At 40.6% G+C, this 25,864-nt stretch overlaps 1 protein-coding gene and 1 long non-coding RNA gene across 2 annotated transcripts in view, besides 8 other annotated features; one reads left to right on the top strand and one right to left on the bottom strand.

Annotated features, from left to right (window-relative positions):
* MEIS1 (Meis homeobox 1) overlaps positions 1-25,864 on the bottom strand; it is a 138,745-nt gene that overhangs the window by 109,392 nt on the left and 3,489 nt on the right. The window contains exons 3-7 of the mRNA NM_002398.3: positions 24,494-24,635; positions 23,866-23,916; positions 23,014-23,064; positions 21,430-21,576; positions 258-369 (exon numbers count right to left, since the gene is read on the bottom strand). Coding sequence (NP_002389.1) covers positions 258-369; positions 21,430-21,576; positions 23,014-23,064; positions 23,866-23,916; positions 24,494-24,635 — 503 coding nt within the window. The remainder of the gene's footprint in view (positions 1-257; positions 370-21,429; positions 21,577-23,013; positions 23,065-23,865; positions 23,917-24,493; positions 24,636-25,864) is intronic.
* Positions 518-3,471: an enhancer, noted in NCBI's record as "E5 enhancer". NCBI's record gives its function as "enhancer in posterior lateral mesoderm" and the evidence as "EXISTENCE:transgenic organism evidence [ECO:0001131][PMID:24022755]".
* Positions 17,560-18,760: a DNaseI hypersensitive site, noted in NCBI's record as "HS 10.6 kb; the nucleotide coordinates are approximate for this feature". NCBI's record gives the evidence for it as "EXISTENCE:in vivo cleavage assay evidence [ECO:0001075][PMID:24097337]".
* Positions 18,424-18,760: an enhancer, noted in NCBI's record as "E2 enhancer". NCBI's record gives its function as "enhancer in U937 cells" and the evidence as "EXISTENCE:reporter gene assay evidence [ECO:0000049][PMID:24097337]".
* Positions 20,268-20,667: a DNaseI hypersensitive site, noted in NCBI's record as "MEIS1 HS +8.8 kb; the nucleotide coordinates are approximate for this feature". NCBI's record gives its function as "accessible chromatin region in KG-1 and U937 cells {active_cell/tissue: KG-1 | U937}" and the evidence as "EXISTENCE:in vivo cleavage assay evidence [ECO:0001075][PMID:24097337]".
* Positions 20,268-22,038: a biological region, named in NCBI's record as "HHc2:066588 enhancer in MEIS1".
* Positions 20,396-22,038: an enhancer, noted in NCBI's record as "HHc2:066588 fragment used in reporter transgene". NCBI's record gives its function as "activates a minimal GATA promoter in forebrain, hindbrain, branchial arches and notochord of transgenic zebrafish {active_cell/tissue: branchial arch | forebrain | hindbrain | notochord}" and the evidence as "EXISTENCE:transgenic organism evidence [ECO:0001131][PMID:22448256]".
* Positions 20,527-20,821: a silencer, noted in NCBI's record as "tiled region #9717; K562 Repressive non-DNase unmatched - State 15:Elon". NCBI's record gives its function as "represses a minimal TATA promoter and a strong SV40 promoter by Sharpr-MPRA in K562 cells {active_cell/tissue: K562}" and the evidence as "EXISTENCE:reporter gene assay evidence [ECO:0000049][PMID:27701403]".
* Positions 23,838-25,037: an enhancer, noted in NCBI's record as "CDK7 strongly-dependent group 2 enhancer chr2:66666573-66667772 (GRCh37/hg19 assembly coordinates)". NCBI's record gives its function as "activates an origin of replication core promoter dependent on BRD2, BRD4, P300/CBP, MED14 and CDK7 cofactors, with strong dependence on CDK7, by STARR-seq in HCT116 cells {active_cell/tissue: HCT116}" and the evidence as "EXISTENCE:reporter gene assay evidence [ECO:0000049][PMID:35650434]".
* Positions 24,148-25,391, top strand: MEIS1-AS2 (MEIS1 antisense RNA 2). Its single transcript, NR_046625.1, has 2 exons — positions 24,148-24,253; positions 24,789-25,391. It is a non-coding gene; the product is annotated as an MEIS1 antisense RNA 2 (long non-coding RNA).

Raw genomic sequence — 25,864 nt, 5'->3', positions numbered from 1 at the left:
TCTAAGCTACTTCTCTAATCTTGCCCTGAGTCAATTCACTACCCTGTTTTATGAAGCTGGCCAGGTGACAGACAGTTAAGCAGCTGGAATAGCACAGAAGAGCAGGGTCAGAGAATAAAATAAGATGAGCTGATTCTCAAGTTAAAGGGGGTTTATCTTCTAGGAAAAACTGTATACTTAGTAACTCACTAGACATTTCTGATTTTTCAATCCTTAAAAATGAAACAAGTAGCAAAAGAGAATAACATCTCTCCTACCTTGCTCACTGCTGTTGTCCCCACTGTGTGACGTGTGGCCACCGCTGGAAGGGCCTGGGGTTCCTCCTGAACGAGTAGATGCCGTGTCATCATGATCTCTGTTCCAAGAGGGCTGTGGGGGCACAAATCAGAAACCCAAATAAGAGGCATCTGTGAACCCTTATTGGTAGGATCCCATGGCATAATGACAAAGCCATGGAGGGCTGGAGCACATAACCATGCCACCTTTCCCATCCCCCTTCAACCATGGTTCCAGCTCAGAGCTGCATTGGCACATTTATAATTTGCCAGTTTCTGCTTCCAAGCTAAAATAATATCTACAAATAGTTATTCTGTAAGTAATTGCATGCTTTATTACTAAGGAAAACAAAAACATTCCAGGCAAAGAGGAAAACAAAATGCCGCCACTGATTCTGACTATATTTTCAACATCAACAAACCCTCTGGCACAACAGTCTGCTACTCTGGAAATGCAAAATGAGAGTGGTGGTCTATAACACTGTGGTTTATAGGGGCCTCTGATTCATCCTAGAAGACAAACATGGCAGAGCTTTTAAGACCTCACAATTAGGCCTGGGTCCATAATAGCTAGTATGTGTCAGCTGTTTGCCGGATGGTACATGGCAAATGGACCAGGCATAGGCACAAAAAAGGAATGAGAATAACAATAGATTCACATGGACTGTGTACACTCAGCCCCATGCAGAGCCTTCTTGTACTATTGAACGGAAAACAGATGTTGCTTCTTATCACTGGGTGCATTTGAAAGTAACATTCAGATAGGAAAAATTGGCTGTAAAATAAATTCTTGAGGAAAACAATCATGGCGACACCTCTCCCAAATCTCTCTTTATCACCAGAAAAGATTTTAATTAGCTTTTAGTGCTAGCTTTCAAAAACAGCCTCATGAGTCACTGGTCATCCTGCACAGTAGGAATGATGCAAAATACAAAGCTGGTCCTTCACTAGGAAGTGATATTTATCTTCAAGATTATTAGTGGGAAAACAGGATCATCTCGTATGTAAAATATGTATACATCATTTCAATCATATAAGGTCAGGCTTCATGACTATATAGTAGTAGAGTTTGCTGACCCTTCCAATATCATTAAGTATGCCTAGCGAAATCAAAGAGCTCTTTGCTTATTTCTAGAAAACTATGTTCCTACCCTGGAGAAGATAAGAAGGGCTGAGGAGATCAAAATGTCTCAGACACCCAGGGAGAGAAAAGTAAAGATCCCATCTAAGAGGCATGCTGTATAGGAATCAAAGGGAAAGAGTCACTGTTTCTGAACAAGATGCATCACTGTCACTTATTCTATAATCTTGGCCAGAAGATTAATGCAGCCTGAAAAATGAAAATAAAGTCATAGAAAGATATGCCATTTGTATGTTTGACTCATGTATAATATGACCCATTATGCATATTCTCAAAAACAGTGCTAATTGATCTGCTGATTCTGAGATTGAAAGATATGTGAACTGTGAAAGAAGTGCTTTTTGCACACACGCATTCTGCAGCATACCAGAAGAATGCTGTAAGACGTAATCTGGAACACACGCTCAGAATGCAAACAGTTAATGCATAAATTTTCAGTTTGTACAACTGCAGCTCTAAAAGGGGGACTTGTTTATTCAGAGCTCTGCAGAAAGAATGGTACAGCACCCAGGGGACAGACAATGCCAGGCACAAAACCCCGGTGCCTCGACATGTAAAAGGATGTTTTTCTATGTGCTACAAATCCCACTTGAAAATATAATTAGAAAGAGAAAATGGCAAACTATTGCATTAACTGTAATTGAACAAAAGACCAGCAAGACATGTGGGAGGCTGCAGGAACCCGTGGGAGTTTCAGGATGCATGAGATCCTGCGAGTGACATCTCCTGGGCACTCTCATTTTATTTATGTTGTCCCTCACTACTATTGTTGACTGGTGATCTGACTGGTAATTAATAGAAAAGCTAGCGATAACAAGCTAAAATACAGAGCCACAGACCAACCTCATCAGAAGCATGTTTGTTAATCTGATTAAGACTAGGACTCCAAAAAGGTGACTTAGAACCAAAGAATTATTCCTTGTTATACAGGAAGCTGTCCTCCTTTATGCTACAACAGACCTGATATATTCACTATCTTTTAATGAGCTCCACTGATTTATTCAGCTCTGCTCTGCTCCCTCCCCCACTTTTCTACTGTGCAGGATGTAGATTAATTCAATGCTTAATTGTTTAGTAAATTCAATTTTCCACATTCTATTCTGCATAGCTTTAGCTAAGGTTCTTAAATCTTCAGCAGTGAGCCCTGAGCCCAGTGTTTGTGATCTGTGCCTACCTTTTTTCATCACCATTTTTCTTCATCCACCACTTAATTCACCATGAAAAGATTTTCCTTGCTGGAAATTCTGATTCCGCTATGATCTGTGAGGCATTCCGATTCATTGCATTTTCATTGTGTTGGGCCTTAGATGCTGGGCTCCTCTTTTCTCACAGCTATCGCCACATTATACAGGAATTCATGCAAGAAATGTTGGATTCCACCTCAGTTTATCCAAATTTTGTGCAACCTATATGTTTAAATTTGTGTGTTCACCAAAGGTAGGAGCCAATATTTTTCACCTAATATCATTCTTCTCACAGCCTTGCTCCTCCAGAAGGCCTATGAATACTGAATGCACTTCTCTGAAGTGAAATCTAACTTTTGTGCTCCTTTCTTGAATTAGCATTTTTGTGTATTAGCATTTAAGAATGAGTAGTCACATGAAACTGAGCATTAGAAGAAATCCACAAAGTTACAAAAACAGAACAAGAATTATGCTTAGTTCAGTTCATTAAGCATGATTAAAGTCTAAGTATCAGAAATAGCTCATGAACTCTTCTAGTATAAATATGTAAGACAGCCCTAATCAGAACGAACTCCCCCCAAATCCATGGACAGAGAAGTTCAGTTACAATAACCTATCTCTGTGACTATATGCGGTTACACCAAACAACATCATTATTATTTTTAAAATAAAATATGTGCATCTGATTATGCATACATATCTGTGAAGTTGTGAGTTGCTTGGGGCCACTTGTAATGTAAGGCTGACAGAATAAAATCAAGAATGCATGGCATTAGATAAATAAAAAACCTTAGTCATGGTTTTAAATTAAGTCCCAAAGAGGCTTTTTTCTTCAATGTATATAATTTCAGAGTAAGCAATGGCTGCGTTCTCATTTATTGGAAATCCAGTAAGACAAGAGGTCTTAACCTGAGGTCCAGAATCACCTATGGAAGATTTTAGGGTGGTCTTGTTGGAATAATATTTGGGTTTATGTGGATACTTGCATATTTTTCCCAAAGGATAGGGTTCAAAACTTTTTATCAGATTCTCAAACAGGTATACAGTGCTCTCAAAATTTGAGAACCACTGCTCTAGGAGATGTTCACAGGGCTAGACAAAACAACAAGAACAACAACAACAACAACAACAACAACAAAGAAGTTGTTGGGAAAAAAAAATCTTTTGCTGGAAAGACCTGAAAGATCACTGAATGTACACTCTAACTTGTTATTGACAGCCAGTGTCCTCCAGACACTATTTCTATTGTCATAAATGGAGGCAGGCAGCTAGAAACTGCACTCCATCAGTAAGTTCTTCTTGATCGATATATAATATATAAACTAACTTAATTTTTGCTCATGTTTTTTCTAGTTCTAGGGCCCCAAGAGACAGCCATTTAAAATATTTGAAGCAAGCTATGATTCTCCTCATATCTTCTCTCTTTGACAGCTAGAACACTCCCATTTTCTTCTATCGTTTCTTAAGAACACTTCAAAATAAGTTGTTTGGGGTTTTTTCTGATTCCATGTATGGTATTTTCAATCTCTAAGGCAATCTTACTGGCATCTGGTAGTAAAATAGAAAGAATGAGCTCCCCTGACTCCTCCATGAGTGAGAATGGTATCTTAATCTTCTCTGTCTTCTCCTTTCCTAGCTCAGCACAATGCATGGCTCATGTTCAGCAGGCACCAAGTGCTTAGGGAATGAATCTGAATTGTTCATTAGTCACTATGCCACCAACATCCCAACAAACAAACTGCAACTTCAAAAACTATCTTGGCTTCCTGAATAAAGTTACCACTGGTGACTTTTTTTTCTTCTACCATTCACTCTTTTTCAATCTATGCCTTAAATTTGGACAGAGGTCAGGACCTCTTATCACTTTCCAGGTATTCCTTGGATAATTCCCTCCTCCACAGTGGTTTGATTTCCTATATGCTACCAGACGTGTGTGTCTGAATTTCTTCTTTGGTCTTTAGACTTGTATGTCCAACTACCTGCGAAACCATCTCCATGCAAAGACATCCACCTCAAGAAGTCCGAAAGTGGACTTGTTTCAACTCAGCAAGTCCAAAGCTAAACTCTTTGTCTCCACCAAACTTCCTACTCATTCCTTTTTATTCCGTGTCCTAGTAGGTATCACATCCTCCACCTGTGGTATAAACCTGAGAGCCATTCATACGCTCTCTCTCTATCTCTCTCTCTCCACCTCCCCATTCAATCAGTCACCAAATCTTGTCTATTTTTGACCCCCAAATAGTTCTGAAATAAATCTCCCCCATTCCATATTCATGACTGCTGTTCTTGTTAAGGCCCTCATCACTCCCAACCTTTAAAAGAGTTCCATTCCACCAGATCATACGCTCTGTGAGGTCAGACATGGTGTCAGTTTTGCTCACCATTGCATCCTGACTATCAATCACAGTGCCCAACAGTTGGCTGGCACACAGGAAACATTTGTTGAATGAATGGACTGCTCCTCACTGCCTACAGAATACAATCTGAGGTCCTTACCCTGGTATACAAAGCCCTTCATAATCTCCCCAAGGGACCATTCCTCTCCTTGTTTCTTTTGCTCCTGCAACATCCCATTGCACATGATTTCTCACAAATACTCTGCTGCTTATTGCTCCAGGCCCATGCTCATCCTTCTCCTCTGCCTGCAGTGCCTTGCTCTGCCCTGCCTGACCCCAGCCCCTGATTATCTCCTTCTTGCTATTTAAGGCACAGCCCAGATACCACCTTACCTAGAAAACCTTCCCTGATACACATCAACCCCTGGATGAGTGAGGCTCTGCTGCTCTGAGAGCTCAGACCATCTCATGCACACTTCTAGCCTTTCACTCTTTGCTTTGTGATGACCTGCTGTGCCTGTCTACAATTCTACACTATGAATGTTTTGAAATCCTGGCCTACATCTTATTTATGCTTATATCCTCCATCCTAGGAAAATGTTGATATTATATTAGATACAAATATATTTTTGAATGAATAACTTAAGTAATACATATGGAATCTTTGTTAAATTGTCACCTGGCATTGTGTTCTCCCATATGAGAGACATCACAAAATATCTAAAAAAGAGTAGTACAATTTAAATATACCTCACATACTTGCACTTACACAAACACACACCACTATAAAAATAGATTAATACTCAGTTGTAGCATAACAGTCAAAAGAAAGAAAATTTAAAGCTAGTCCTGTTGGAAACTTGATTGGGCCACTTACATGGTCTTAAGTAAGTCATAACCTCTTGAAACCTTAATGTCCTCATCTGTAAATGAGGATAAAAAGTACTCCCTTGCAGACATAACATATGTAAATTGTCAAGCATGCAGCAAGCACTCAATAAATGGCAGCTTCTATAGTTCTTAATGTAACAACATAAGTTGACCTAAGCCAACCTTGGGGTATCTACATACAGGTATATTCAGTGTATAGACCTTCTGGAAAGAATGGTTAACCTGAGCTGGCTTCGTGCACAGCTTGGTATGCTTTGTGCTATCTCCCAGCTGCTGTGTGCTCAGGGAATGCAAACTGATCTTATTTTCACCTTGGAATAACATGATTTTTACAGGTGGTTTGTTCCTCCCCACCTCATCAAGTTTAATTCGATGCCTAATATTTATAAATCACTTTACAGTATACAAAGCATCTTGACACATCTTCCCAGTCAGTCATTCACCACATCAGTATGATGCCAGAATCATTTTTTTCGAACCAAAAATAGAGTTTTTTTTTCTTCAAAACTTCTACACTACTGGTCCCATTCAAAAAGGTGGATAATTGAGAGTCTGATGATCTTTACTGTGAAGGTGTCAGTTAGCAGCTACGTAGAAACTGATGAAATAATCAGTGTACAAAATTCGAAGTCAGTCTGCACCTGTCAATAGGCGGCTTTCTCTTTGGGGAGGTACATTTACTCTCTCAAATCACCAGGGTCTCTTTAGTAAGTAATCTCTAGTGGCCTGAAAGAGCTGGCTTGTCTCCAAAAGTGAACAATTTATTATCTCCAGGTGAGGACAGTCTCCAGGTCCGCATGGAGAAGGCACCAGTGTGCATGGTACTCAGGCATACACACGCACACTCACACTGGCAGGCTTGCCCATGTCCGTATGTATGTGCCCATGTGCACACCTGTGCTCTTCCATGAAGCACAGTGAATGGGATCGCTGTATGTCAGCATCCCACACTGTCTGGGGGGGTGCATCTAATTAGCCCGGCTCCCCTTGACTTTTCCCCTCTGTCTAAACAGTGTTTTTCGGGATCCTTAAAGGTGCATGACTTCAGCAAATATCATTTCTTATACACTCCTCAATCAATGATACCATCTGAGGAAAGGGATCAGAGAGAGATCCATATGCAGAGAAATGAGGAGAAGAGAAGGGGCACAGGAGCTGCTGTGAGAAACAATACACATTTACCTGTGTGTACCTGAAGCTGGGGAATGGGGATGCTGAGAAGGCTTTTTATGTCTGAGTATTTAAAGTCTTGTCATACTGAAACTCGTACTGAAATGCTTGGTGGCTCACATTTGTATCTGCTTGATAACCAAAACATAGCATATAATCATTCAACCCACTCAACTACCATGTATTGAGCACCTATAATTTGCTAGATACAGCCTGCTCCTCTCAAAACATACTCCTTTGGGGCTACATCTACTCAATTTCAAATTCAGGTAATTCTGGAAAAAAAGTTATGTGGATTTCTAAAAAAAAAAAAAAAAAATCCCTAGAAATCACTAAGCAAAATTCATTTAACCACAACAAGTTTAGGCAGTATGTTTTGTTTTGCCTTTTTTTTTTCTTAACACAGGAAAACTGCTCTTACCTTTTGAGCATTTAGATGTTTTGAAATGCCATAAACATTCACAAATGAATATTTCACTGTGCACACGTGCTGTGGATTCAGGGGCCACATTAAAGTGTTGTGAGGAATGATATGGACGTGAAATAGCATACTTTAGAGAAACCTTTTCTAAGTCCACACTGTGCACTGCTGAAAAGTGGATAAAATGCAGAGAGGCAATTGCTGGTTCTGGGAAAATAGTGGTAGGTGCCTGAGGCACTCCCTGATGGAGGCCCACACTCATCTTTGGCAGAGAGGCCAACTTTTTAAAAGGCTACCTCCCTCACACACTTTATCCACTTTCTCCACCAACTCTCCTTTTGCTCATTTCCTTCTCTGCCCCTCCCTCACTCGCTTACCTTTGCCAAGTCTGTAAGCCCTGCCAGGGTTCTTGTTGAACCCTTTTTTAATGCTGTGATAAAATGTGCTTATGACTCCACTTAATAGAGGCCTGAAGGGTAATTCTGGTGACTCAGGGCAGATGGTAAATTAGCGGTAAGACAATGGAAATCCAGCATCCCTCTTCAGAATCTGTGGCTTTCACCAACACACCACACTGCCTCTTCTCACAGTTCCAGCCCTGTCATATTTGCCATTGTGAACTTTTAATCTAGAAATGCATCTTGGTTATGTAATCATCTCTTACGTCTTGCACTCACTACATTGGTGCCAGCCAGTATTTTTATACACAGCATAAGTGTGTACACTTCAGCATCAAATGAGGCAGATTTCTAAGACCTTAACAGCTAAGCGACTCTGGTGAATTGCTTGCAAATAAACGTGTGTGTGTGTGTGTGTGTGTGTGTATAAAAATCATATGATAGTCACTGTGGGTAGTTTGTATAGGTAGACATAGCATCTGTTAAATAGAGTTCCATATTTCCCAGTTCTCACGTACCACAAATAAAACCTACAAAAATGATAATTTTTCAAACATTGAATCCTCTATCTCTGTGTAATGAGGCATGTAGAGAGGAGGAAAAGAATTTTTGTGCTTTCTTGCCTTTGGTGAAAATTCTCCAAGGAGTAATTTCATCTTTAAGTGAAAAGTTTTCTACCAGGTGATTCTTCAAGCTTCAGAAATCACTAAAGCCTGGGTTCAGACATGAGTGTGCACATGGGTTCACATGCACACACCGCAACACACACCTATCACATACGTAAGGCATAAGGCAAAAGAATGTTAAAAAATGAATCTAATGGTTTTTTAATTACATTGTAATGGAATTTAAAGCAGCCTGGCTGTAAGATATATTTTTAAAATCTGCTATCCCTTAAAGATTTTGCCCACTGTCCTGCAATCAGCATGCTTCATTCTCCTCTCAATACTCAGGCGCTGGGCTGCTATGGCAGGCAGTGAGGGTGGGGACCTTAGGAAGCCAGGACTGAATACCACAGAACACTTTCCCAATGCTGCTTAAAACCCTAGTTTTCAACAGCCTGGTGTCTTTTAGGTCTCCACTCTAACATTTTCAGGAATTTATTAACCTGCACAGTTGAATTAATTTACCCAATAAATTACAAGTGAATCAACTATGCTAAGCAGAGGTCTACAGATGTAAAACAACACTCAGAATATTCCAAAGGCTTTCCTGATGAAATCAAGACAGCACTGATACTTTTTGCCCAATTCTTTAACTTTGACAATCAATGCTAACATCATCCCATGGTGACCCTACTGTGGTCTAAGAAGATAATATAGATTTCTACATGTGGTACATTCAGCCAAATTACAAAGAAAAGGAATAATTACAACCAAAGGGCAATTGACCATAAATGCCAATTTCTCAAAACTGGTAAGTAATAGAAATTATTCAAGTGCCCTGAATGTTCAAATTCTACTTACCAGTTTCTTGTAGAGAAAAATCTTAAGAAGAGAGAAGATAAAGCCTCAATATGCTAAAATTCTTAGTAAAAGTATCTATGTTTTGATAACCTTTTCTTTTTCTATGCCATTGTATTATAACTGGCATGCTATTAATAAAAATAAATTCTTATATTTACTGACTTTAATGACTCCAGGTGCTTCTTGAAATCATACCTATAAATTGTAGTTCATAGAGTTAAATGTTTGGCTGAAAAAAACCCTAATCCACTGATACCACTATATTTCCAAATAAGTATACCTAAATACTTCAATCTGTTTTATTCATTTATCTTTTGAGAGTTTTCTGCTGAACTCTGATCATTTTCTATTATTTCTACTTAGCAGTGGGAGAAGAATCAGTAAATTACATGCCAGTATACCTGATGTTATAAAATCCTCTTTATAAGACTGTTTGCTTCCCAGTGTTTTATTTTACATCCGTAACTTAGTATCAGTGCTCCTTGTTCTGCAAACAAATTAAGATAAAATAAACTTAAAAGTGTTTTATATAAAACAACTTCAACCACAAACTTTCTAGGCAAGGCTCCTAGCAAAAAAAATTTAAAAAATGAAAAATCCAATAATGCAGAAAACATTGTATAATGAGTAAAAGTAGATAATAACATCCCGAAAGCAACAAGACCTCAGCATGAAGTATTTGTATTCAGAAATGTGGGGAAAAAGTACTTAGCACAGGGTCCTTACATAACTGTTATTTGAATTTTACCCTAGGAGTGAGTCTGCAGTGATTCACTATACTATCTCAGTAAAATATCTGAGTTCAGTCTCCTTTTACACTATGCTGAAATCAGAATAAAATTGACCCCTCATAATAAGAATTAAGATATTTTTCTTAAACTCTACGATGATAAAATACTCTATAAAACAACAGCCCCATCAACCAGCACCCAATCCTTCCTCCATAAACCCAATTCCTGTTTTTGAAGGTTAGGCAGAATACAAGCAAGAAGATAAAATATAATGTAATGAAGTGCTCATTGGGGATTTACTACTCTAAATGTTTTAGATGCACTTTTATTTAGTTCTTACAGTAACTCAATAAAGTGGGTACTGTTACTATCCCCATTTTACAGATTATTAAACTAAGGCCCGTCAAGGTGCAGTGACTTGCCCTCTCAGAGCAAAGTCTAGATTCAAATATAAGTGCTCTGGCTCTAAATTGTATATTGTTCATTAGAACACCACCTTCCTGAAAGGATGTGTAACTAAAAATGACAAGCAATACACTTAACTGTTTAGTCTCAAGTGTTTCTGAAGTTTTCTCTTTTCTACTTCTAAACTCTCGAGCCAGAGAACACACAATTGAGACATAAGAAGAAAAAAAAATTCAGCCAAGATATAGTCTTGTTTTGTTCTACTACCTCATAGCATTATACTTTGAATAACAGAATCACAGAAATTTATATTTACCGCTGATTTCCACTAATAATTATTAATAGGGTATCTTCTAATTTCCCTATGGTTTCTTTAGAAGCACTTCTGATTTTTTATATTTTTTACAACATTTTGTGTTTTAAGTGTCTCTCATTCCTCAAGAATGTCTGCATCTTTAAGCCCACTGACAACGTTAAATTTGGAGTTGGGAAAAGATTATTCCCTTCCTTCATTATTTATCTTGGGTAAAATAATCAGGGAGGCCTTTCTCAAAGCATCTTGAGATTTAATTTGAGTTTCTGGTTCCTACAACGGTCAAGTTTTCTATATTTCAAGATACTTAACTAAGAGATCAGCCAAAGCAACTGTGAATTCCAGAAGTAAGATGCTGAGTTGCACTGTGCACTTTTTAAGGAATTCCAGTTAATCAGAATGTCATTCTTCAGCCATACCCAAGGCTATTATTCTAGAGATTATTCATACTATTTAACAGTTACAGAGTATTTGGATTATTGAAAGTATACCACGAGCAAAGAAAAGCCACATAATTGATTTGTCAATGTTTTGTTCTCCTATTTTTCTATTGGCATGTTCTTTACATGCCCTCAATAAATATTAAACACTCAAACAATTCACTATTAGGATGGCAAGCAAACCTTTAGAATGTCGCAACAGTAGAGTGAAGAACAATGCACCTAATTGAAATGGCAGGGTAATTTGGAAAATAAAATTGAGTTGCTGCAAATTCCAAATTCCAGAATAAAAATGTTTATACTCACTTAAATGCAGATTGTTACTGCCTTTGAATAATTATTAGAATAAAAAAATTGAACACTAGCAATACACTTCATATGCACAGAACAAGCATATTCTGTATCTCTCTGTTATTTTGTGCAAAGAAGTACGGGACATAATAACTCAGATGTTTTTCTTGCTTATTTTGTTATTAAACACAGCTTTTAAAAACCCAAAATATAATGAAACAATAGGCCAAGCCACCAAATACACAAACAGTGCTACAAACTTTATGAACAACATTCTTCAGAAAATTTTGGAACACATTAAGGACAGGGAAAGCAGGCTGAAAGAAAGGAAGGGGGTTAAATAATTCTGCAACTGAATATCTTTCTTTTTCTTGAACATATTAATTTATCATCAAGATCAATTCCAAATGTAAAATTCCTGTTTCTCTTTGTTAGAAGCTAGAGCCAAGAAAACTATGACAATTAAAATGAAAATGGCAAACTACATTTGCATCTGGAGCTATGAAATATAAACATGTAATGACTCTATAAGAGATAATATTTATCTGTAGTCTGAGGGTAATCCTTAATTATCTACTTAGGGCTATACCACATTGGCAGAGATGCCACCCTTATCTCATGAAGATGAATTCCATATGCTCTGTAGAGTTATAGTATAATTCCCATAAATAATGTATATGATAGAATGTAAATAAATAATACATTTATATGTTCAAGAGTGAAGGGCAGGGTGGTTACTCCTGACACTACATCTCTTAGGAAGGAGCAATTTGAAATAAAAGTAATGTTCAATGGTGATTTATCACAAATTTTTTACACTAAAATATTCTCAAGCGTGGATTATAAAACAACTCCAGATCTGGTGGGAACTTTCAAGTAAATGTTGCAACTAAACCCAAAATGCCTAATTAATTGTACTGCTAAAGTTTCTGTTCTGATTGTAGCATAATAGCAAATAGCATCTTACCTATTTGCTGCTATTTCAAATTTTCTATATATATATTGGCTGGATTTTATGATCAATGAAATGTGAAGGTTTAAAATGTCATATACGAGTTTCTGTATGAAACACAGAGCTTTTTTTTTCCTTCAGGAAGAAAAATTTTAATATTGCAGTAAATATATAGGAAGGCTATATATTGAAAAGTTTCCAAAAATAGCCCACCTGCACTAGCTAGTTTGCCAAGACTTTGTATGTAAAAATTGTTCCTCCACCTCTAAAGTATCTCCATTTTGAAGCTCTGTAGACAAACACTCCACTTCACGTAAATAGTGTAAGTATGCCTTTAGAATTTCAGAAATTATACATCATGTAGTTTGAAATTAAGTTTTCAAATTGCTAAGGAATAATCTCTGAATACCAGAAAACACTATAGGTCACAGTTAATTATATCTTGTCTATCAAATTAAGTTAATATTCGAAAACACATCCAAATAGTTTTGGAGACATTAAGAGGAGGTTTATTGTCAAAGAAATTCTTATTCATTCAGCTTCTAATATTTTTAAAAGAAGAGAAATAAGCCTTTTACAAGTTGAGATGGGATAAGGAAACTCTGGATGTACAGTCAAATTGCTCTCTTCACTGTCCTTTTGACGGCTGTGTCAATTTCATTATAAACTTCATTTTCCAGAGTTTCATAATAGTCATAAACACACTTCACTTTAAAGAGTTTCTATGGGATGTGATATGAATGCAAATTCAGAATAAAATGTAAATTATGGAGGTCTGGGACCAAGTATGGACAATCAGTTAAGAATACAGTTGCTGAAAATAAACATTTAGGCTTTTAGAGGAAGAACACAAAGGGGCTAATATTAATCTTTATACCAAGTGTTCACAGCTCTAGGGAAGACAAATAAGAATCACAGTTTTCAGTTTTTCACCTAATTGTAAAGCACAGGTTGGGAATATTTGATGACTTTGGCCTCTATTCATTCCTGTTTTGAAGTGAGTAACATTCTTCATTTTCTCACGAAAACAAACCCACATATGGGTAATAACCCACAAGGCACTACAATAGGAAAATGAGACCTAGCAAACTAGCTCAAGTTCAAATCTCAGGCATAGAAGGTTTCCAAAGGGCAGAAAAAAAAGTGATCAGAAAAAGAAAGAGATATAGTTCTATCTTTCTAAATAATAACCAACAACCCAGAAATTTAAAGTTAATGGATAATAAACATGCTACCATATTGTAAAGTGTAAGGAAAATTCTATAGAAATGGAAATTCACAAGCAACAATTCATTCTAAGCTAGCTTATGTGGCCAGGTATTGATACTAGAATGTTGTCATATATTGATATTAGAGTAATTCTAATATCACTCAAAAATCTTATTTACTGATATCTTCTAAATGAGTTAAAATAATGTATATTTAAGTCCATTGTAAAATGTAAGACTTTGTATTTGGTTAAAACGTAAAAGCAGCAGCACAACTATAACAGTTGCTAATATTTGTTAAACTCATAAGGTTGTGGCCATTTTTAAAATTTCACTTCGTAAACTTATTAATAATAACAGGCATTTTATTTTTTTTGAATAATATGATTTCATTTAAGGATTTTTTGGTCTTGTTTTTGAGACAGGGTCTTGTTATATTGCCCAAGCTGGCAGCTCCTCAGCACAAGTGATCCTCCTGCCTCAGCCTCTGGATTAGCTGAGACTATAAGTGCATGCCAGGATTTTATTTGAGTTTTTTAAAGAAGCATAACATTACACACTCAAGGTTGTTTACTTCGTGAGTATAAATTCTATTAATTGTAAATAGAATTATGAAGTACAAGGGAAGAATCCACTGTAGAAATGTATTTTTGAGAATTACAAATAAGGTAAAACTTCTTTGCTCAACTTATTTGTCCTCCATTAGCGTATGCCACATAAATTGGTCCATATGTCATGGAAAAACCATAATATGGTTACTTTATATCTTAAAACATATATAGCTATAATTTGTGTCAATTTCATTATAAACTTCAATTGTATTGATATACAGCTATACAACTCCAGCTGTAATTTGTATTTGATTGTATATACTCATGACACCAATAAACAACAGGTGTATAATTCAATATGTGTATAAATAAGCCCTTTTTCCATCAGAGAATCAACCCTTGATAGTATGTTTTAGTCAGTTTTAGAAACTCTGAACCAAGAAGTCAAGAATATAAAATAATTGGAAAATATTTGCACTCTTGTATTTTCCTTTAACAAGAACATATTTTCTAGATTAAGAAATGCTATTTAGCAAGAGTGTTTGAAGAAAGTCTAGTAAATTGTTGCCAATTGCTTTAATTCTGTGCACTTGAATGCATTACATTGATCATAATTGGATTCTAGTGACAAATATTTTAGTGAATATATTCTCACTTATTTCACATAGTATCCTTTATACCATTTATTCAAATGTCCAATTTACAAGTGTAGGGATTCCAGCAATTGGCCAATGTAGGTATACTTCCTGGAGAGTCTGTTTAAGACTCCAAAAAGCTTCTCTAAATTCCTATAATCTTGAAATCATGGCATGTTAAATTAAAGATACAGTGAAGATGTTCTTTTATCTTTTACACTACATGGACACACTCATTTGCTTGAACTTTTCAAAATTGATTTTAGACACCCATGGTTTATTCGTATACATTAAGGATGGCAAAATATTCAAAATTCTACAGGATGCCAAAAATCAAATTTTGTAATTATTATTAAAACTTAAATTGGGAGACTGTATTTTATATGTTTTAGCCCAGAACTTTTTATACAGGTATTACATTCTGATATTTCCTGCTTAGTAAGAAGAGCAAGCCCAACGGGATTTAGAGCAGTGTTGTTTTACTTGGGATCTGGAAAATCTTTAAATCTATAATAACATCCGCACAACTGTCAGATAAACTGTGTCACATGCATTCTATTTTTCTTCATTTGTAAAAGAATACTTTCCCATAATTTTTATTTAATTCTTAAATTTTTTTGCACTCAGGAGAAATGGCAAAAAATTTTGTTTCGATTATGTCATAAATTAAAGTAGTACTTTGATTCAAATATGACAGATATCATAATCCACAAAAGGCCATGTAAAATGCTACAGTTGCAAACATTTAAGACTGTGTAACAAAAATGACTGAGAGCTGTATCAGTTTACTATCCTTCAACTATTTCCCTGACAGTGGAGTCAAATAATTTTGAATTATAGACCTTCTTACAGGAAGTCTTATTTCATGTTCATTTTTTGATCATTTCCCTGCTAGTCCCTATAGCAATTTGGCTGTATGCCGACTTTCCTTTAAAAGTTTTTGTATACATACTTGGGTTTTGTTTGATGATTAAATGATCATTTATTAAAACTTTAGCATTTCACATTTGTTTGACATATTTATGTTTCATAAGAAAATATTGTTGTTGCAATGGAAAGCATAACATTACCAATATGAGAATACTTCATTTAAATTCATGTTGACAGTATTTTCATTTATGGCAAGTGTCTTAATATAATTTGTTATGCATTATTCACAGTTTCTCCAACTCCACCTGTGAGGTACGCTAGGGAAGGTAAGCTAGTTTTAGGACAGTAGGCCTCATGGTAATACTTTAGTCTATCTACTTGGCCTTAATAAACATAAGTTTCTACTATGGGAGCACAAATAGTCTTTGTTTTTTAAGAGTATAGAATTTTACTGGATATTTTCTTTTCTTGTCACCCAGCCACAGCTGTGTTTTAAATCTTTTGGGACTATGACAAACATTTAAAAACTTAAACATATGAGTGTTTGAAAACATAATGATTTAAAATTTATATATTTTCAAAGTTGGACAATTCTAGCATGATATTTCAGTTACTTTTTTGAAAGCCCGGCCCACATTTTAATACATTTTTCTCCCTTCTCTTCTCTTCTTCCTCTATTATTTAAGATTCTCCATGTTTTCTAATACAAGTCTCTAAGTTAGGACCAATAGCTATATAAAACAACTACTCTATATATTTCAGAATGGTGAGCAATGGAGTCATTCTGGTGGGGGAAGAATTGCTATTTGAATGACCTACTGCCATGGAGCTAGTTAAATCACTGAACAATAGTTACTGTTATGAGGCTTTACTTTGTACAAAGTAGCATTAGTATCATTGCTTTCCATTATTCATGCAACTTGCACTGGGGACTTCCACTGAGAGAGAGATTGAAAGAGAAAGAGGGAGACAGAGAGAGAGGGAAGCTACGCAAAGGATTTTTTGTAGTATTAGCGTTTAGACTTAGAGACATTTACCAATGTAAGTGATCTCAACCTATCTGCATCTATGGTGTACTTTTTTCCCCTTGTTTTTTCTAGAATGTTTTAAAAGTGTCCCTATTAAGAATCAATACATCCCTACTCTGAAACTCACACATAAATACACACTAAAAGCCAATCAGAAAGTAACAATAAAAATATACCCAGTAAACAACTAACTTTTAATTCAAAGGGTGCTATGTAATAAAGGGCCTAGAATGAACATCCCAATTAGCCAGTGTAGTGACAAGCAGTCAACACCTTATTATTTAATCATTAAAGAGAATCTTGCCATAATTTCCATTTGACATATATTTTAAAAGGAATTAAGACTATATCACATGACCCACAACACAATCAAATGTAAAGTTAGGTGATGCTAAGACTTTATCACTTGCAAGTCCTGTGGACTGAGAGGTTTCAGGATTAAGGCATTAAGTGGGAACCTACGAAGCATTTATAATTTAAATAAGATGTATACAAATGGAAGCATTTAAAAACAAACTACCTGACAAAGGGACCATTTTTCTGCCTCCCGCTGTTTGTGTCCACTTTTCTTATTGGATGACAAGGAATTGCGGACATTTCTAGTATTCGTAAATATTCGCTGGCCCTATCTATTTGCTTCTAAAGCAGCAGATCCCATCCATGCAGGACATTAGGTTGTTTCTTGCCCTCCCTGCCTCATCCCTGACTGTGACACCTCCCTTAAAGAGAAAGCTTAAATCTCCCTTGCAAGAATTTCCCCCGCTTCTTCGGAGGAGGGCGTTTTCTGTCAAAGTTCTACCTCAGTTTAAAGGATTTTAAGCCAAACTCTGCTTCAGAAACAACATTGTGAACTTTTGAAATAAAACAATCGCCATCAGAGTTCCCAGGACCACTTGGGAACCAAAGCGCACCGGGCCCGGCCTGCCCCAGATCCCAGAGGCCTGGCGGCCCTGCGCTCTCCAGTCTGGGCTGCACAGCCCCGGCGGCCGTCCCCCGGGAGCTCGGCAGCACTTGGCATTTAACCTGCCTGGCGAGCGTGGCTCTCTGGTTCCATAACTGCAAGCCATATTACTTCTCCCCAGACGTCAGAGACAAATCTGGATTAACATGCAACAGGGCGTCCTGTGCAGCCCGACAGCCTTCGCCCAGGAGCTGCTAAATGCAGATTCAGACGAGGACCCCCCGGAGAGCTGCTGTTGAATAAAAACTGTAATCCAAAGGGACCATTTCTCTGCCTCCCGCTGCTTATGGGAAGAGCCAGGGCCACCGCTGAGGCCCGAGCACAGACCTAGCTAATCTCGGCTCGCTACCGGCAGGCGTGGCCACCCCGGGAGGCGGCCCTGGGGGCCTAGAGACTCTGCTCCGCTCTCCCCTCTCTCCCAACGCGTTCTTGGAGTGGAAAATGCTTAGATTCAAGGAGTGGCGCGCAATAGAAGCGGCCTAGGAAGGAAGCCGACTGCTCCTTCCTGGAGTGCGGCCTAAAGTCTAGCAACTGGGTGGCCAGGCCTCTCCTCGCCTAACCCCTCTTGGCGCCCCCTAATCCACCCAAGGGCCCCTAGAACACGCGCCCCGCTTCCGGTCGAACCCGCATCGTTCTCTGAAGCCAAACAGGCTCAACCCTCGCCTCGACGCCTAGCATCATGGCCCCCCTCTCCCTCTGCTCCGGGGTCGCAGCCGGGACCTCGCCCCACGCTGAGGCCGGGAAGCCCCTGGCGCCCCTCGCTTCCCCTAGCCTCTGGGAGCCCGGAACAGCCAAGCCGAGCCGAGAGCGCGGCGGTCAGGAGAGGGCGCCCAGGAGGCTTGCGCCCGCCAAAGTGGCTCTCTCCGGCAGGGACCTCCAGGCGGCCCGGAAGACTGGGAGTGGGGGAAGGAACGGGATTACAGCTTCTACTGGTGTCTTAATCCTATTTTTAAAATAAATAAATAAATAGGAAAGAGAGAAGAAAGAAAAAGGAAAGGAAAGGAAAAGAAAGGACTAACGCTACAAGGTCAAGTGGATTTCCGCCGACTTAGCCCTCCGGGATACCGCCTAGTATCAAAGTCGTCGATCCCAGGTCCCCGCGCGGGTGGCAGTCTTCGCGCCCTCCGAGGAAAACAGGTAAAATAAAATAAACCGTGCCGCCAACGGGCCCTAGAGACAGAGGGGTTAATGAGCTAACAAGGCCCAGCGTTCTCACAGCACGAGAAGCGCCCAGTCCCGGAGCGCACCCTCTGCGGAGGCTCAAACTGGCTGGGCTGCATTCGCAGACAGGTGGAGAGGCCATCCTTCCTGCCCGGCCCCCAGGACGCCGCACTAGGGGTTCAGCGCCCCGGAGGGACAGGCCAGCAGGCTCCAGACCGGAGAACTGGCGCCCACCAGGCGCCCTGGTGCTTCATTCGTCGCGCCTCAGCTCCCCAGGGCAGTGGAGCCCACCGGCGGCCGTGGCACTGTACCGCATGCGTCCAGCGCTTTGCGCTCCCCTCTCCAAACCGGACCTTGGGTTTGCTGTCCTCCGACCAGCTGAAACTTGGGTGAGCCCCAGGGGGTCACACAAGCGAGCCCAGGCGCATAGGCCAACAGCGCCACGAGCTCAGCCAAAGCTTCGAAGCCCACTCTTAACCAGCGGGGACCAGAAGTCAGATTCTCATTTTAGAGGTAGAAGACAATAAAATGAGAAGTTTTATCCGATACAATTGCATACCAATATTTGCATATCTGAAGGGAATTGGGTAACAAAAGTTTAGGGAAGGAGAAGGGGGGAGCTCCATGATATTATATTAATTTTTGTATTCTCTCTCCCCCCTCCAAAAAATTCCCATAACTTTGGTCTTTTATCTTTGACTTTAATAAAATAATGATTCCTTGAGAAAATGGGGTATAAATCTTCATTTTGGAGGCAATTAAAGTGTTGATTTCATTCATGCCCCTAAGCGATTCTTGTAATTTGCTCAAATAGCTTTATGTACCCAGCACTCCGGAGCTTTTAGAATCCCATTTTCCAGTTAGGCTTGTTGGATTGCAATTTTTATTCCACAGCAGCTACTCGAGGGTTCCTCAGCAGAATCGGCACTCAACAGCTCCCGGGCCAGGGCTGGCGGGCTGAACCAGACGTGAGGCCCGGGCCGCCCGCGGGGGCCAAGGCTGGGAGCCGCCTGCAGTTTTCCCACTTCTGTGGGGCCGCACTGGGATTGCGCACGCTGCGTGTTCTGTGCAATGGACTACACTGCCGAAAGTTTCCAACTCTCCAGATCACAGTGCGGACCCGGCGCATTGGCACTTTTAAATCTCTGCTCTGCCTGTTTCTCGCTCCCCATGGGCAAAAGAGGAATTCAGCCCATGTCGCGGGGATTGCCCAGAGAAAATCAAGCTGAGAATGTATTTTAAGAGGATGATGTTGAGAGAAGAAAACCATAAGATGACACTAAGAACCAGGCGTCAGGCGCTCGACAAGGACTGTACAAGACAGCCACTGGCCAACAGAGATCATGGCAGAGCTTGCAGAGTAGCTGGCCTTTGGCTTAACAAAGGCAGGCTGATCTCTTCCCCCAAATCTGGACTCACGTGCCGAGTCAGAAAGAGAAACAACACTGGGACTTCACTTATATAGGGGGGAAGGGTGGGAGGGTGCAGAGCAGGCCAGCTACCCAAATCTCTAGACGCCTTGCAACAATTCGCAACGGAACTGTTCTGAGCCCTGTTTCATCTCACTCACTCTACACGTTTTCACTTTCATTGCATTTTTGCAACTCCTTTGGACCAATCCAGAGATACAGCCACAGGAGAGAGAGAGGCACCCTGGGAGCAAACGGTGGTGTTGGGGTGACAGAGAGAGAGAAATCCCCACAGCAATTCCAAATAAAAGTCGTCCCCACTTAGTAACGCATCGGAAGAAGGGCCTGGAGGGAAGACAGGAGAGGAGAGGGTGCAGCAAGCCAAGGCCCTCAGTTGAGAGCAAAGGCGGTGCGAGGTCCCCCACACTCCTTACCCAGGGAGCCGCCGGGGTGCCCCTGATGCTGATATGTCCACAAGCTGCCAACCCAGAGGGCCCAGAGCACATACCAGCTGGAGGATGAGTGGAAAGAAGGAGGAGAAAAGTCCATATTTATCTGTTTTTATAACCTCGGCCTGGTCTTATTTTTTCTATTAAGTACAATAAAATGGGTGAGCTTGCAGTGAACACCACACAAAGCAATGTTCAGTGAGGTCTAGAAGCGTTCGGCCGAGGAAAACTGACAAGACAGGCTAATGAACCGTACAGACAGGGAGAAAATAGCCAGCATTTGCTAGATTTCAAACTCTCGCTGTCTTTCTTAGACCACCTATCTTGGATTTATTCCTAATAAAATAAGAAATAAGCAGACCCTACACTTGTCTTTTCTTGAAGATAGAAGGGGGAAAAATGCTCCGGAACAAAGCCCCTACAATCAGAGGCGGTCACTGGCAGTTAACACTCCCATTATTATAGAGGGTAAATAAAATAAAGACAAAAATTAAAAGCGACAAGAAACAGGTCAAGTTTGCTAGCAAAGCTTTTACAAGCTCATCTCTTCAGGTCGAATCCCAGAGCCAGCCTTAATGAAGCAATAATAGCCACATTATTCAAAAATTTTCATTTCGATGGAAATGTATCTAAAAGGGACTTAATCATATGCAAATAATAAAAGGAGGTGGTAGTGACCCAGCAAGCAATATGCATACAGATTTTTTTTTTTCCCAGGGATGTTGAAATTGAAAAGCGCATACCTGGTCAGTTAGATTTGCTGATCTTGTTATATCTTCACTGTCTGATTTTGATCCTCCTTCTCTATCGTCTATCACCAAATCGATAGGCATTTTCCCTTTCAAACAGCTAATATACCGGTGGCAGAAATTGTCACATAATTCGTGTACCTACATTATGACAGAAATAAAAAAATGGGAATATAATCAGGAGTGCATAAATGACATTGACAAGTGCAATCCACCCCCCTTGTGAGATCCAAACTTCCAAATAGGGGAAACACAGGGCAATTGTCCTCCAGAGACCCCCAGACGCATCCAGAATTAGGAATAACTTTCTTTTCTTGCAAAATAGAGATATCCCAGAAAATTGACAGTGACAAGATGATTCACAGGCTACAACATATTCAACACCCGTGTTAAATTCATCTGCTCCTGGGGCTGTGGTCATTAGAGAGGTGACCTGCGTAGGTGACATTTAAGGTAAACTATTTAATTTCATCCAGTGACTTTATCATAAATCCCTTTCTAATGTGTCTAAGAAAAAAATGTATACGTGTGTATATATGCACATATATATTCTCCAAAGAACCTGTACTGTGGTGGCATAGGATAAATGCCTGACAACCCAAGTCCTTATTATATTTGTAATGAAGGTTTTTATCTCTAAGGGGTATATTTTAGAAAACTTTCTTTGAAAAAAAAATGGAAGGAAATCAAGTTGCCAGTACTCCTGATATGGGAAAACATACAGCCACACAAAAACATATCAAATTGATTTTTTTTTTTTTTTTTTTTTTTTACAAAAAGGAGAAGGAATGCCTCAAAATATTTAAGTGTAAGTGCAGAGGTTTCCTAGAGGTCCCAGGCATCACTGACATGCAAAAATTCACAAGAAACCCCAGTGTGCTTGCAATTTAATGTTAGTTTGAATTACAATGCATTAAGTTTTTATTGCTGAGATTTATAGAACAGCTAGCAAAATCATGTTATCCCACACCCTTTCTTGAGTGTGAAGGTGGAGTGTGTGCAGGATTCACAGATTCAAGAAATTGACACAACTATCAACTCTGCTTTGTCTCTGCAAAACGTTTAATGTGCCTCCCCACCACCTCCTCCAGACTCCTTCCCGCTCCTCCTCCTTCTCCCCTTCTGCCTCTCCCCTGTGTCTGATCTGCCCTTGCTCTCAAGACTGTCTTCCAGAAACTCACTACAACTGAATAAAACTTTTTTCTCCCTCAGAGGTAGCAAAGAAGAGAAGGAAGAGGATGAGAAGAGACAACAGAGGTATGAACTTGTGAAACAACCTCAGAGCAGCATTCGAAACATCAGCTGGGATGCACAGAATTGCAACTATTTACACAAAGCCAGCAAGTTATTAAGAATGAACACAAGGCTAGGGCGTTTGTGATCCCAGTTTTAGTGGCTGAAATTGTAATTAAACTGCGAAGAGAAATGGACGCTAAGATTGGCCTTGACACTAATTACCAGAAAGAAAGACATTTATGCAAATGTATCAGAAGGCTGAACTTCAGCCATTCGGAACCCTCCCCCCTGTGTGTTTGGGGGTAAGGGGTAAGTAAAAGGAAAAGAGGCTAGAGAAATTACCTTCTCTAATTCCAATAGATGAAACCTTAATACTTGTATGGCTTGAATCATCTGCAAAGATACAAAAACAATAAGCACCCCATTCCTGGCTTGCAGAAAACTGGCTGCCACAGCTCTACCATCTCCAGCCCACCCCCTCCCACCAGTAAATAGAGTTATTTTGATTTATGGCAATAACACTAAAACTTAATAGCAGCAACTGGGTACCATCTAGAGGTTTATATTTCTTAAGAAAAAAAAAACTAGCTAAAACAACAACACAGCATCTAAGTGAGGATCATAAACACTCTCCTCCCCCATGGCTCTCCCCTTTCTCAGTCCCACTGGCCCCACCCCACCCCAAAAGGGCCACAACACTGGACTACATGTGTCCTTGGAAGGAGTGGACAGAAAAATATTCCAAATGGCCCTCAAACTGTGGCTTTTCCCATTGCAAAGTTTCTGCTGCCTTCCTTACACCTTTCAGGCAAACTGGTTGTTTGGGGGCTCTTGTCCGGTGGCTGCCCTCGTGATGGGACTTAGAGGGCTAGGAAGTCCGCAAAGTTTAAGCACACATGCTGACAGGCCGGGAGATAAATCCCCGCGCTGATTAGAGCTGCGCAGCCCGGCTGTCATAAAAAACAAAAGCTCGCGTTTCCCCGCGCTGGCTCGCCCGGCCCCTCTCGAGATGAATTTATTTCCCCGGGATCTTGTCCCGGACCAGTTGTCCGTGTACAGAAACATTTGCAGCCAACCTGCAGGCACGGGAAGACCGGTCTAGAAATCTCAGGGCTCTCAAAGCAAAGCTGAGGGCGTTGGAGGTGGGAGGTAGGGGGTCGGGGGCGGGGGAGGGAAATAGGGGTCCGCTCTTACCAAGTTATCCAGTTCTGGATTAGAAGAAAATAGAGGTTTTTCTGCGCGAATCTAAATACAAGTGAGAAGGAGAGGGGAGAGGGAGGGGAGAGAAAAAAGAAAGAAAAATTTGAAATCTGGTCGCCTTCCTAGTTTCTTGCCTCATTACACTGTCGGGGGCAGGAAGTAACCCTCCGGGAGGGACCCGGTGACACCGAGTTCGTCCCGCGCAGAAACATTTCAGTGTGAATTAAATAAGCTGAAAACAAGCCCAGAGCTCAATCTTACTTCTACTAGCAACTACGGCTCTCGGGGAGGCTGCTCAGACCGCCGAGTCCACAGCAGCTACAACCGTGGTGTTCTTGATTTTATTCTGCAGAGTGAGCTCTCCACGTTTGCTTTCTGGAGGGTGAGTGGGGATGCAGATGGGTGATTTTAAGTTATCTGCAAACAGACACTCAGACAGAGAGAAAATCTGAGGTTGGAGGTAACATGCATGGCTTAAGGCCGACTACGTGCTGGCTACTTTTGAAAGTGTGCCGTGTGTGTGTGTGTGTGTGTGTGTTCGCGCGCGCGCGCGCGCGTGTGTGTTGGCGAAGGGGGGGCTCTCTTTTTGTTTCTTTTACTTTTTAACATCTATTTTGCTGACCTGTTTGGCGAACACGGCTATATCTTCATTGAATGACTCTGACGAGCAGACGTCCCCGCCCGCCACCCCCGGCTCGCGGGGGGTACAAGTAGCTAATTCACATTTCTCAAAAATCAGTGCTAAGAGAGGGAAGAGGGGGTGTCTGCAAGAAAATACAACAGTCACAAACAACATAATGGTTAGTCCCCAGTCAATGGAAAAAGGTGCCCAAGAAAAACAGCTGGAGGAGCAAGAGGAACAGACCCCCTCTCCGATTGTGTCATCTACTTTTTTCCTTTTCCTCCCCCTCCCCCAGACCCAGGTGACCGCTCACCTCCCCTTCCTCCTGGAGCCCTGAAGTCGGAGGCCCTGAGCCATGGACGGTATCTGAGGATCGGTTTAGCGTATCTGGCCGGAGAAATTGGCAACATTTGCTACGAATAAAACCCAAGCGTTTCCAGCAGCCATTTTGAATTAAGTTTCCCACCCGACAAGCCCTCGTCCCCTCCACTGCACATCCAGGATCCGGTGGAGGAGAAAGGCGCCGGGCGGAGAGTTGGGGAGGGCTGGTTCCTGCGGGTTCCTCCTAGGCGGCCGCGCGAAGCCCAGGCTCGGGGGATCTCGGTGGCAGGCGCTCAGCTAACTTGGGGAAAGGACGTCCATGGCCGTGGGGCCGACTGTCAACGGGCTGCACCTAGGGATCCCAACCCCAAGGCCCTCGGAGAGCCGGGAGGCTCCTCCTCAGCTCCACGCACATTCCCCTCCCTTCGCTGATAGCCCCCACCGCCCCCCAAAGAAAGTTCCTTCAAATGTTCCTGCAGTAGAGCCTTTCATTTTGTCTCTGCGAAGTGGCAAAGCAGCTAGTATTGCGAGGGGCCTAGATGTCGCTTGTCTCAGCCCATAAAAAAGAAAAAAAAAAAAAAAAGAAGAAGAAGAAGAAAGAAAGAAAAGCTTCTTCTAATGCCCAAGGAGGTATCTCAAGTCTTTTATTAGCTCTCACAGCTCAGCTGGGAATTTAACAGTTTGGGGTCCTTTACAAAGCTTCCCCAAATGTTCTGTCCCAGAGCCTAAACCACTTGTAGTTAACTCTGCGGACAGAACGGTGGGAATTAAACAAGCCCATCGCACAAGGGATCAGAAAATAAAATAAAAAGATTATATATATTTTTTTTTCCAGCGAGGGAGGGTCAGTGTGTCCTGATTTTTTAAAAATAAATAAATAGAAATAAAAGTTTCTGCAAAGTAAAAAGAGGTTCCCAAATTCATCGGCACACAGTAGGCACAAGTGAGTTTCAAAGGATTCTACTAGCCCAGGGTCTAATCGAATGGCGGAGGAGAAAGCAGTATAAACCGCAGCCAGAAAACAACCTCCGAGGAAGAGCACCCCGAATT

The sequence above is a fragment of the Homo sapiens genome, chromosome 2 (assembly GCF_000001405.40).
Source record: "Homo sapiens chromosome 2, GRCh38.p14 Primary Assembly".
NCBI lineage: Eukaryota > Metazoa > Chordata > Mammalia > Primates > Hominidae > Homo > Homo sapiens.
This window is presented reverse-complemented; position numbering and strand designations above follow the sequence as displayed.